We start from the raw sequence: 13,783 nt of genomic DNA, 5'->3' as shown, positions 1-13,783 counted from the left end.
TACTGCTTTCATACACATTCATTGGCAAAATATGCTCAAGGAATCCACAAAACTATGAACAGAATCCTGGCTATGTGTTCATACAGCAGATTAAACTATTCTGGGTCTCTGTTAAGTTTTGTGTCTGTAATGCCTCGTTTCTGAAAGACTATCTTCTCCAGCAATGAAAACCAATCACTTCTCTTGAGAACCAACCAAATCCCAACATCATATTGTTGCACCTGAACATATTATTCGTATTTTAGTACATCACTGAAATACAATTTTGTTAAGCAATATTTCTTTGAGAGCTGGAAGTAAAGTAACAAGGAGTAGGCTCAGAGATCCACATTTAAAATGCATGTGGACACATTATCCTGCTGGCTGCCCATGTTCTAGGTAGTTCTAAAGTGCACATTTTAGCAAGATGTGCTCAGGGAGGCTCGTGTCCTCTGCAAGATAGAAACTTCCATGGTCACTTAATGATGAAACATGGCAGGCGAATAAAAGGCAGAATTAGCAGCACCATGAAAAGTGTGACTGGAAGTCAGAAGGGTGGAAATTAAAAATGGAAAATCAAGTGATCAATGAACAGTGGGGGGAAGCAAGCTGGAATTTAAATTGGCAAGACAAAACTACTATGGACCATCAGGACAAGAAGACCAGAAAGTGTGAAGATAAATAAGGTAGACAAGTCAAAAAGAACGGTCTGATTATATAAGTAATGATGATAATGAGCCCAATATAATCAAAGTTTGTACTATCTATAGTTGTAATGTAAGTCAGACAAGAAAATTGATTTTTTTCTTTGGAATCACACTTTCCTCAAGGTGTGGCTGTCACTGCAGTTTTTTGAAATACAGCAATACTCTGCTTAATGAACTACCATTGTACCTTATCCCACTATATTATTCTCTGAGAAAATATAAAAACTCTTTAGCTCATTCCTATAAGTGCAACTCAGGTGAATGCATATGCCTATTGTTATTAAGAAGAGTATAACATTAAAAAGAGTTATTTGCAAGAATTAGTGTTTTGTTTTAATATGTACCATCTACCTAACATGAGCTCTCAAAATAAAATTTGCAATTATATCTGCAGAAAATATGCTTTTTATTCCCCATTAATGTCTTTGTTCTTTTCTCACCTTGCCTTCTGCTCATGGCTTCCTATACATAGCCTTTGATTTACCACCTTTCCTATCACCCCATTTATTCTTTCATTTTCAAGTATCCGGCTAGATTAATTGTCAGTAACATGTGTCCAAATTCTATCTCCTCCAAAGCCCGCATAAATTACTGTCTCCTCCAGAAAGAATCCCCTCATTCCTCAACCAGAAAAGATCTCTCTCTCTCTCAGTAATCCCCATAGTGGCCAGATGTGGTGGCTCACACCTGTAATCCCAGCATTTTGGGACACCGAGGCAGGTGGATCATAAGGTCAGGAGTTCAAGACCAACCTGGCCGAGATGGTGAAACCCCATCTCTACTAAAAATACAAAAATTAGCCTAGCGTGTTGGTGGGCGCCTGTAACCCCAGCTACTCAGGAGGCTGAGCCAGAGAATTGCCTGAACCCAGGAAACAGAGGTTGCAGTGAGCCGAGATCATGCCACTGCACTCCAGCCTGGGCGACAGAGCAAGACTCCATCTCAAAAAAATAAAAAAAAATAAAAAAAGAATCCCCATAGCAATATTACCAGTTTTAAAATGCTTCACTCAAGAACAACTGCTTCTGTCTTTATAGAATACTTATTTGGAATATCTGTCTTATCTTTCGAACATTTGTTTCACAAATATTTCTGGAATACTCTGCTAGACAGTCTAGGCAGAATGCAAGCTTTCTGATTTCACACACTTGTCAACATATTAGTTATCTAGTGTTGTGAAACAAATAACCCCAAAACTTAGCTGTTTAAATCAACAAGCATTTATTATCTGAGTTTTGGTGGGACAGCTCTGGCTTAGATGGGTGCTTCTGACTCAGGGACCTCCCATGAGGTCACAGTCAAGTTGTCCACCAGGGCTGCAATCATCTCAATGGCACCTGGGTCCAGAGTGTCAGCTTCAAATCTCACTCATATGGTTGTTGGTAGAACTCACTCAGTTCCTTGACAAATGGACCTCTACATAGGTGGCCTCATGTTATGTGTCCTCATATTATGGCAACGAGTAATGAAAGAGAGAGAAATTGCAAGAGAGAGAGACCAAGATGTAAGCTACCATCATTTTATAACATAATCTTGGAAATGACGTCCTATAACTTCTGCTGTATTTTATTCACTAGATATAAATCAATAAGTTCATCAAAAATGCAGTGAAAGGGAACTGCATAAGGGCGTGAACATCAGGAGGATGCAATCAATGGGGGCCAATTTAGAAACCGCCAATGACACCTAATTAGCACAACAGATATGTAATAAATGTCTGATAAAAAAAAACTGTTTAGAGTTTGTTGAGTTTCTCGAATCTATGTGTTTATAGTTTTCAAAATTTGATGAAAAATGTTTTAGCCATTATTTCTTCAAAATTTTTATGTCCCCACCTCACCCTGCTTTTTCTATTTTTGGGTGCCTGTTACAGATAGGTTAGGCCATTTGACATTGCCCTACTGTTCAATAATACTTTGTTCATTTTTTTTCTTTTCCTCAAGCTTCTTTTCTCTGTGTGTTTCATTTTTGGATAGTTTCTATGTGTTCAAGTTGATTAATTTTTTTTCTGTAATGCCTTATCTCTGCTAATCCAATACATTTTTCATCTCAGACCTTGTATTTTTCCTTTTTAGGATTTTTACTTGTATCTTTTATATAGCTTTATAGCTTTTATTTTTCTCCTTCTTATGTTTATATTTTCCTCTGCTGAAAGTAGAGAATACATTGATAATACTGTTTTATCCTCTTTGTCTACTAATTCTATTATCAGTTTTATTTTTATTTCTGGGTTTCTTTAGATTGATTTTTTTCCTACTTGTAATGGGTCTTTTTCTTCTCTACATGCCTAGTAAATTTTGATTAAGTGTCATACAATGTGAATTTTATTAGATGTAAAATTTTTTAGAAATATTATTTCTTTAAATATTAGGGGGATTTTTTTTTCTTGAATGTAGGTAAGTTACTTGGAAATAATTTGATTTTCTTGAGACTTGTTTTTAAACTTGGTTGGGTGGATCCAGAACAATCTTTAGTCCAGGTTATAACTTTTGAGGATTCTACTGCATGTGTTAGCTCTTTCCTTACTGCCTTATGGGAACTTGAACTATTCTTAGCCCTGTATGAACCTCAAGGATTGTTCCACCTGCTTCTTTCGGGTGGTTACCTGAAATACATTAGCTAGTTGGTATTAAGCTAAACATTGAGAGAAATTCTTTGTTGATAGAGCTCTTTCTGTCTCTCTGGGGAGGGCGGCAGATGTTTCCTCTCTATACTCTCTCCCACAAATGATGGCCACGTTGGCCTTTCTAATCTCTCCTCAACTCAGAAAAGCCACCAGGATTTTCTGGATGTTCCTATTCCTGAGCCGTGCCCTGGAAACTTTACAGTCAGCTGAAGATACTGTAGGACTCATTTCATTTATTTCCCTATTCTTAAACTTCACAGTACTGCATTGTCTGTTGTTTAATACCTGAAAATGCTATTGTTTTATATGTTTGGGTTGGTTGTTGTTGTTGTTAAATGTAGGAAGACAAATTCAGCCCCTTTTAGTCCATCATGGTCAGTAGCTGAAGTCTAATCCTATAGACATTTGGCTCAATTTCAAACATTTAGCCTCCCAGAGACCTGTATGACATTTATTCTTCGTGAGAGAAGAGACTTGACTAAACTTTTTATAGCTGACAGAGACAGGTACTAGGAGTCAGAATATCTGAGTTCATAACTTGGCTCTTCAGAAAATTATAGTGGCATTTTCCAGGCAATTTCCTGAAGAGATTAGACCAAATCAAAGATTCTTTGTATTTTATTCAAGAAATTTACTGTATTACTATTATTATTTTCAATTTGGTTACCTTGAATATCTTACTGGCAGCTCAGATAAGTTGGTCCAGCCCCAAAATTCTTATAATGCCACAAATACTCAGTCAGGGGTCTGATGGCTATAACGTCTGTGTTGATCCAATTCCAGCCAAAAGCAAAGCAGCAGCATCTTAGAAAGCCTATGCAGTTTTATTATGGGAAACTGTCTACTTCCATACTTCCATTAAGAGTAAGCCTTTATAGATCTAGCACCTAAATTTTATAAATCTTTTCCTCAATGCTAAATAGTATCTTTGCAAAAGAAGTAATAACTCAAGACTGCACACAGGGATCACCACTCTCAATATTGACCAGTTTTTTAAATATCAACCAGGCAGATTTCCTGGTCTCAATGATACCAAGCAAAAATTCTCTGTCAAGACACTGCTCCTCATTCTCTTTGAAATATGCCAAGGATGAACTGATTTTTCCTTAAAACACTTGGACAAGATCTCATTGCATTCTAGATTAATATAACCTGAAGTAATTTGGAAATGAGGCTACCAAGCATAAAGTCACTGAGCAACTTTATCTTTCAAGGTAACTGGCAAATAATCAAAGACATAGCTCATGATCCAAAGCACTCTTACGCATCTTTCATTTGTAAGTGGAAAAAAGTACAACAACAGCATCAAAGGGTTTCTCAAAAGTGGCAGGTTCTCTATTACTATGCTCAGAGGAGTAACTTCCTTACCTGCAAGTTGTCTTTGACTGACCGTGTTCCTGTTCATTCCAAATCCAGCTCAGTGTCTCCTATTATATAATAGGACCTTATCACTTCTAGAACCACCTGCAGCATAAACAAAATCAGCCATGTAAATTTCCATTTCAAATTAGCTCTCTTTCCTAATTTATCTATATATTTTAATGGAATCACTGTTTAAGCTTTGGCTGATCATTTCTTTTTCTACTTACCTAATGTATTCTATCATCTGAACAACAGTGTTAAAAATTTGAGTGTCTAGAAACTTATACTAGGCTTTGTTTGCTTTTTGGCCAACAATGGGTCATGTTGAGAACTTAAGCAATAACAAGTAAATAAACTAACAGAACCTACTTCGTATAGTGTATGTGCTCAAGCTACTTATTCACTGAGGATGACCTTAAGCAGTTTAACATCCCTTATATGTGACTTGGAAAGAGTGTCTACATCAAAGGATTAGTGTGAGGATAATACATATTTTGAGTATGTCTAAGCCAAGTCAGATTCTCAAGAAATTTAACTGGTGGATGTGGTAGTGATTATAATGGTGATGATGATGATAAAGTTCATGCATGTAAGTAACCCTTGTCTCCATTATTGAGGTTTTTTCAGCATTTTATTATGAAGAAAATCTCAAACATACAGCAAACATGGAAGACTTACCATGCAAACCTGTATATCCACCACCTAGATTCTACTACACATTTTGTTGCATGCCTATTCAACCATCTAGCCCTCTATCCATCGGCCAATCTGTTTAATTTTGAAAGATTGAAAAGTAAACTGCAGACATTATTATACACACATACACACTGCATGTGTAGTATTAACTACAGTTCAGTATTTTTCTTTCAGTGTAAATGTTATATACATTCGCATGATCGTCAGTGTAAAGTCACTGTTTTGATGAAATAATGTACTTATAGTATCAAGATACAGGACATTATCTTCACCCCCCAAAGTTACTTTAAATCCGTTACCCTGGCAATTCCCCTCCATACACACATATTCACACAAACACACAGCGGCCTCACTTCTCACTTTTTATTTCAGGATTAGTTTTGCCTGTTCTGGAATTTCAAATAAGTGTACTCTTTTGTGTAAGGTTTTCTTTTTTTCACATCATTTAATGTTATTGAGATTCATTCATTTTGCTGTGTGTATCAGTAGTTTGTAATTTTTGCCAAGTGATAGTTTATTGTATGACTATATCACAGTTTGTTTATCTGTTTGATTGACGAACACTTGGTTGTGTTCATTTTGGGGATGTTATGAATGAAATTACTATGCACACTTTTTTATAAATTTTACTTTAAGTTCTGGGATACATGTGCAGAATGTGCAGGCTTTTATTTTTTTATTTTTTATTTTTTATTTTTTTTTTGACAGAGTTGCTTTGTCGCCCAGGCTGGAGTGCAGTGGCATGATCATATATATGTGCCATGGTGGTTTGCTGCACCTATCAACCTGTCATCTAGGTTTTAAGGCCCACATGCATTAGATATTTGTCCTAATGCTCTCCCTCCCCTTGACCCCACCCCCCGACAGGCCCTGGTGTGTGATGTTCCCCTCCCTGTGTCCATGTGTTCTCGTGGTTTAACTCCCACTTATGAGTGAGAACATGTGGTGTTTGGTTTTCTGTTCCTGTGTTAGTTTGCTGAGAATGATGGTTTCCAGCTTTATCCATGTCCCTGCAAGGGACATGAACTCATTCTTTTTTATGGCTGCATAGTATTCCATGGTGTATACACACCACATTTTCTTTATTCAGTCTAACATTGATGGGCATTTGGGTTGGTTCCAAGTCTTTGTTATTGTAAATAGTGCTGGTAATGTAAATATATTTGTGCATGTGTCTTTATAGTAGAATGATTTATAATCCTTCGAGTATATACCCAGTAATAGGATTGCTGGGTCAAATGGTATTTCTGGTTCTAGATCCTTGAGAAATCACCATTCTGTCTTCCACAATGGTTGAACTAACTTACACTCCCACCAACAGTGTAAAAGGATTCCTGTTTCTCCACAGCTTCACCAGCATCTGTTGTTTCCTGACTTTTTAATAATTGCCATTCTAACTGGTGTGAGATGGTATCTCATTGTGGTTTTGATTTGCATTTTTCTAATGACCAGCAATGATGAGCTTTTTTCATGTTTTTTGGCCTCATAAAAGTCTTCCTTTGAGAAGTGTCTGTTCATATCCTTTGCCCACTTTTTGATGAGGTTGTTTGTTTTTTTCTCATAAAGTTCCTTGTAGATTTTGGATATTAGACCTTTGTCAGATGGGTAGATGATTGCAAAAATTTTCTCCCATTCTGTAGGTTGCCTGTTCACTCTGATGACAGTTTCATTTGCTGTGCAGAAGCTCTTTAGTTGGATTAGAACCCATTTGTCAATTTTGGCTTTTGTTGCAATTACTTTTGGCGTTTCAGTCATGAAGTCTTTGCCCATGCCTATGTCCTGAATTGTTTTGCCTAGGTTTTCTTCTAGGGTTTTTATGGTTTTAGGTTTTGCATTTAAGTCTTTAACCCATCTTGAGTTAATTTTTGTATAAGGTGTAAGGAAGGGGTCCAGTTTCTGCTTTCTGCCTATGACTAGCCAGTTTTCCCAGCATCATTCATTAAATAGGGAATTTTTTCCCCATTGCTTGTTTTTGTCATGTTGAAGATCACATGGTTGTAGATGTGTGGTGTTCTTTCTGAGGTCTCTGTTCTGTTCCATTGGTCTATATGTCTGTTTTGGTACCATTACCATGCTGTTTTTGTTACTGTAGCCTTGTAGTATAGTTTGAAGTCAGGTAGCATGATGCCTCCAGCTTTGTTATTTTTGCTTAAGATTGTCTTGGCTATATAGGCTCTTTTTTGGTTCCATCAGTTCATCCAGTTTAAATTAGTTTTTTCTAATTCTGTAAAGAAAGTCAATGGTAGCTTGATGGGAACAGCATTGAATCTATAAATTGCTTTGGGCAGTATAGCCATTTTCACAATATTGATTCTTCCTATCCATAAGCATGGAATTTTTTTCCATTTGTTCATGTCCTCTCTTATTTTCTTGAGCAGTGGTTTGTAGTTCTCCTTGAAGAGGTCCTTCACATCCCTTGTAAGTTGTGTTCCTAGATATTTTATTCTCTTCGTAGCAATTGTGAATGGGAGTTCACTCATTATTTGGCTGTCTGCTTGTCTATTGTTGGTTTTTTAGGAATGTTTGTGATTTTTGCACATTCATTTTGTATCTTGAGACTTTGCTGAAGTTGCTTATCAGCTTAAGGAGTTTTTGGGCTGAGACAACGGGGTTTTCTAAATATACAATCATGTCATCTGCAAACAGAAACAATTTGACTTCCTCTCCTCCTATGTGAATATGCTTTATTTCTTTCTCTTGCCTGATTGCCCTGGTCAGAACTTCCAATATTATGTTGAATAGGAGTGGTGACAGCAGGAATCCTTGTCTTTTATGCACACTTTTAATCAAGTATTTTCTTGGACTTTTTAAAATCAGGTGTGAGGTCATAAGAGTTGATTATCTTCTGTTTCTTTTTTTAATTTTTTAAATTTTTGTGAGTGCATAGTAGGTATATATATTCATGAGGTACATGAGATACTTTGATACAGGCATGCAACGTGTAATAATCACATCAGGGTAAATGGGGGTATCCATGACCTCAAGCCTTTATCCTTTGTATTAAAAATAATCCAACTATACTATACTCTTTTAGTTATTTTAAAATGTACAATTAAATAATTATTGAGTATAATCACCTCATTGTGCTATCAAAACTAGATCTTATTCATTCTTTCTGACTACTTTTTTGTACTCATTAACTGTCCCTAATTCCATCCCACTCCCCTGCTACCCTTCCCAGCCTCTGGTAACCATCATTCTACTCTCTATCTCCATGAGTTCAATTATTTTAATTTTTCGCTCCCACAAATCAGTGAGAACATGTGAAGTTTGTCTTTCTCTGCCTGGCTTAACATAATGACCTCCAGTTCCATCCACATAGTTGCTAATGACAGGATCTCATTTTTTTAATGGCTGACTAGTACTCCATTGTATATATATACCATATTTTCTTTATCCATTGATAGACAGATGGCTTCCAAATCTTGGCTATTGTGAATAGTACTGCAATAAACATGGGAGTATAGATATATCTCCAATATACTGATTTCCTTTCTTTTGGGTATATACCTAGCAGTGGGATTGCTGTATCATATGGTAGCTGTATTTTTAGTTTTTTGAGGAACCTCCTAACTGTTCTTCATAGTGGTTGTACTAATTTACATTCTCACCAACAGTGTACAGGGGTTCTCTTTTCTTCAATTCCTTGCCAGCATTTGCTATTGCCTGTCTTTTGGGTAAAAGCCATTTTAACTGGAGTGAGATGATATCTCATTGTAGTTTCCATTTGCATTTCTCTGATGATCAATGTTGAACACCTTTTCATATAGCTGTTTGCCATTTGTGTGTCTTCTTTTGAGAAATGTCTATTCAGATACTTAGCCCATTTTTAAGTTGGATTATTAGATTTTTTTTTCCTATAGATTTGGTTGAGCTCCTTATATATCCTGGTTATTAATCACTTGTCAGAGGGGTAGTTTGCAAGTATTTTCTCCCATTCTGTGGGTTGTTTCTTCACTTTGTTGACTGTTTCTTTTGCTGTACAGAAGCTTTTTAACTTGATGTGATCTCATTTGTCCATTTTTGCTTTGGTTGCCTATAACTGTGGGTTATTACTCAAAAAATCTTTGCTTACTCCAATATCCTGGAAAGTTTCCCCAAACTTGCTTTTGTAGTTTCATAGTTTGAGGATTTAGATGTAAGTCTTTAATCCATTTTGATTTAAATTTTTATATGATGAGAGAGATAAAGGTCAAGCTTCATTATTTTTTATATGGATATTCAGTTTTCCCAGTATCATTTGCTGCAGAGACTGTCTGTTTTCCAGTGTACATTCTTGGTACCTTCATTGAACATGAGTTCACTGTAGACATGTGGATTTATTTCTTTGTTCTCTATTCCCTTCCATTGGTCTATGTGTCTGTTTTAATGCCAGCACCATACTCTTTTGATTACTATACCTCTGTAGTATAATTTGAAGTCAGGTAATATGATTCCTTTAGTTTTGTTCTTTTTTCTTAAGATAGCTTTGGTTATTCTAGAAATAGCTTTTGGCTTTTGTGGTTTCATGTAAATTTTAGCATTTTTTTTCTATTTCTGTGAAGAATGTCATTGGTGTTTCTACAGGGATTACATTACATCTAAAGACTGTTTTGGGTAGTAGGGACATTTTAACAATATTTATTCTTTCAATTCATAAACATGGAATATCTTTCCATTTTTTGTGTCATCTTCAATTTCTTTCATCAGTGTTCTAGGGCTTTCATTGTAGAGAACTTTCACTTCTCTGGTTAATTCCTACATATCTAAGGTTATTTTTAGCTATTGTAGATGGAATTACTTTTTATTTCTTTTGCACATTGTTCACTGTTAGCATATAGAAATGCTACTGATTTTCACGTTTATTTTGTATCCTGCAATTTTACTGAACTTGTTTATTAGCTCTAATAGACTTTTTGTAGATTGTATGGGTTTTTCTAGTGTGAGATCATATCATCTGCAAGCAAGGATAATTCGACTTATTCCTTTCCAATTTGGATGCCCTTTATTTTTTTCTCTTGTCTGATTGCTGTAGTTAGAACTTCCAGTACTATGTTGAATAACAGTGGGAAAAGTGGGCATCCTTGTCGTGTTTCAGATCTTAGAGGAAAATGTTTCAGTTTTTCCCCATTCAGTATGATACTAGCTGTGGGTTTGTCATATATGGGTTTTAATATGCTGAGGTGTGTTCCTTCTATACCAAGTTGTTTGAAAATTTTTATTGTGAAGGAGTGTTGAATTTTATTAAATGCTTTCTCAGTATCAGTTGAAATGATTGTATTTTTTTTTGTCCTTCATTCCATTGTATGATGTATCCCATTGATTGATTTATGTATGTTGAACTATTTTTGCATCCCTGGGATAAATCTCACTTGGTCATGATAAATTTCTTTTTTTTATCTTTTTTTTTGAGATGGAGTCTCACTCTGTCTCACCAGGCTGGAGTGCAGTGGTGAAATCTCGGCTCATTGCAAACTCCGCCTCCAGGATTCAAGCGATTCTCCTGCCTCAGCCTCCCAAGTAGCTAGAACTACAGGCGTGTGCCACCACGCCAACCTAATGTTTTATATTTTTCAGTAGAGACGGGGTTTCGCCGTGTTAGCCAAGATAGTCTCCATCTCCTGAACTTGTGATCCTCCTGCGTCGGCCTCCCAAAGTGCTGGGATTATAGGCGTGAACCACCACACCCAGCCAAATTATCTTTCTAATGTGTTGTTGAATTCAGTTTGCTAGTATTTTGTTAAGGAATTTTGTACCAATATTTATCAGAGATATTGGCCTGTAGTTTGCCTTTGCTGGTTTCAGTAAAAGGGTAATACTGGCCTCGTAGAGTGAATTTGAAAGTATTTGTCCTCCTCTATTTTTCAGAATACTTTGAGTAGCATTGGTGTTAATTCTTCTATAAGTGTTTGCTAGAATTCAGTAGTGAAGCCATTGGGTCTTGGGCTTTTCTTTGCTGGGAAACTATTTATTATGGCTTCAATCACATTACTTGTTATTGGTCTGTTCAGGTTGTAAATTTCTTCCTGGTTCAATCTTGGTAGGTTGTGTGTCTAGGAATTTGTCAGTTTCTTCTAGATTTTCCAATTTATTGACATATATTTGCTCATAGTAGCCACTAATAATCTTTTGAATACCTGCAGTATCAGTTGTAATGTCTCTTTTTTCATCTCTAATTCTATTTATTTGTATCTTCTTTATTTTTAATGTTAGTCTGGTTAAAGGTCTGTCAATTTGTTTATCTTTTCAAAAAAACAACTTTTCATTTCATTGATCTTTTTATTGTAGTCTTCGTTTCAATTTCATTTATATGTGTTCTGATCTTTATTATTTCTTTTCTTCTACTAATTTAGGGTTTGGTTTGCTTTTATTTTTCTAGTTCTTTAAGTTGCCTAATTAGTTTGTTTATCTGAATTTTTTCTACTTTTTTAAACATAGGGGCTTACAGCTATAAACTTCCTTCTTAGTACCTCTTTTGCACACACACATACACATTTAATAGTAAGTTCACTCAAATAACCAAAGAAAAGGTTATCAATTATTTTGCCTTTTTCTTGAGAGAAGAGTTGTTGTGTGCTAACTTTTATACAGTTGTCAGTTTTCTTTTCCATAATTTTGTGAAAAAATTACAGTCTTAATTCTGGAATGAACTGAGATTATATTTGCATTTTTCACCCACTTTGTTGAACATGATAATTTTGTATCATTGCTTAGTTTTAAGTTTTATAAAAAATAGTCTAAGTAGCATGTGCAAAATTCTAGAGGCCTCAGGTCCAGAGTCCTGGTCTCAGGTACAATGATAATTGCGCCTAGATCCTCTTGTCCCCCTATGTTTCATTGTGTTTTTTCTTTCTTTCTTTAAAGTGACTTGATGGGCTGTTTGAAGAAGGTTGCTCTTCTGCTGTCATTCAGTTAAGAACTGGACTTGGTGCAGTATTTCAGAAAGAGCACTACTGTACATCAGATAGTGGGGGATTGAGTCCTAGTATGGCCCTCACCATGCACTCACCATTACACTTTGGGAAGCCCTTCAATGACCTGTAATGGCATCAGCTTTTCAGTAGTATAACGAGGAAATGGAACTACATGATAATTAAACTATAATTGTGACTAATGAGGGCAATTTTAGAATATTAAGTCAAGTGAAACTTGACTTAATAGATTCTATGTTGTCTTCCTTTTTTTTTTTAATTACACTTTAAGTTTTAGGGTACATGTGCACAATGTGCAGGTTTGTTACATACGTACACATGTGCCATGTTGGTGCGCGGCACCCATTAACTGGTCATTTAGCATTAGGTATATCTCCTAATGCTATCCCTCCCCCCTCCCTACTCCCCCCACCCCACAATAGTCCCCAGTGTGTGATGTTCCCCTTCCTGTGTCCACGTGTTCTCATTGTTCAATTCCCACCTATGAGTGAGAACATGTGGTGTTTGGTTTTTTGTCCTTGCAATAGTTTGCTGAGAATGATGGTTTCCAGCTTCATTTATGTCCCTACAAAGGACATGAACTCATCATTTTTTATGGCTGCATAGTATTCCATGGTGTATATGTGCCACATATTCTTAATCCAGTCTATCATTGTTGGACATTTGGGTTGGTTCCAAGTCTTTGCTATTGTGAATAGTGCCGCAATAAACACATGTTGTCTTCCCTTTTGAACTTCCTTAGAATTCTTGAACCCTTATTACTTTCCCTCAAATTGCCAATAATTGTAAGGGTTAGTTTTATTGAATGATACTGTATGCTTGACCCAGCTTCCTAGGCAAGCAAATAACTCTCAGTCCCAAGTTCATGCAGCCAGTATGTGCTGGGATTTGAACCTAGCATAGTCTGAATCTAAAATCTGTGATCTTCAGCATTCCACATCGGCCTTTGAATATAGTATGTGCTCTCTATTTGCAGGGAGTTTGCACGTACATATTAAGGATTACTGCTGCTGATGATAAACCACCTCCCCCTAGAGCCTCCTTAGCATTCTATAAGTGGCAAAGATTGCTTCTGGCTGTGTAGCCACGAAGTAGCTGCATTTCCTCCTGAGTGAGAGGCCGGCAGTGCTGCTGGATTCAGCCCCTAATGGCTTAAGCCACAGCTGCATTTCATAGTAAGATGCTGCTGACTTTACCCTGCAACTTTCTTTCCTTCTCTACAGCTCATTTAAGATCTTCAATAGGCAGCCCAGTGTCTTTACGGAATTTTATCTCACAGATTGCAAGATTAACTTCTTCTGACTGCCGACATATTTGAAATTCTGGATCAATTCTATTTGATTAACATTTACGACACCTCTTATTATCAGGATAGGAATAGAAAGTACAAAAATGAATAAAATAATATTTATGTTCAAGAAGTAAAATATGGCTATCATAGAGATGTAAAATGGACATGTGTTAGAGATTTTAATTTGTTATTAATGAGAGGACCATTGAAA

Source organism: Homo sapiens, chromosome 15 (assembly GCF_000001405.40).
Source record: "Homo sapiens chromosome 15, GRCh38.p14 Primary Assembly".
Lineage (NCBI taxonomy): Eukaryota > Metazoa > Chordata > Mammalia > Primates > Hominidae > Homo > Homo sapiens.
This window is presented reverse-complemented; position numbering follows the sequence as displayed.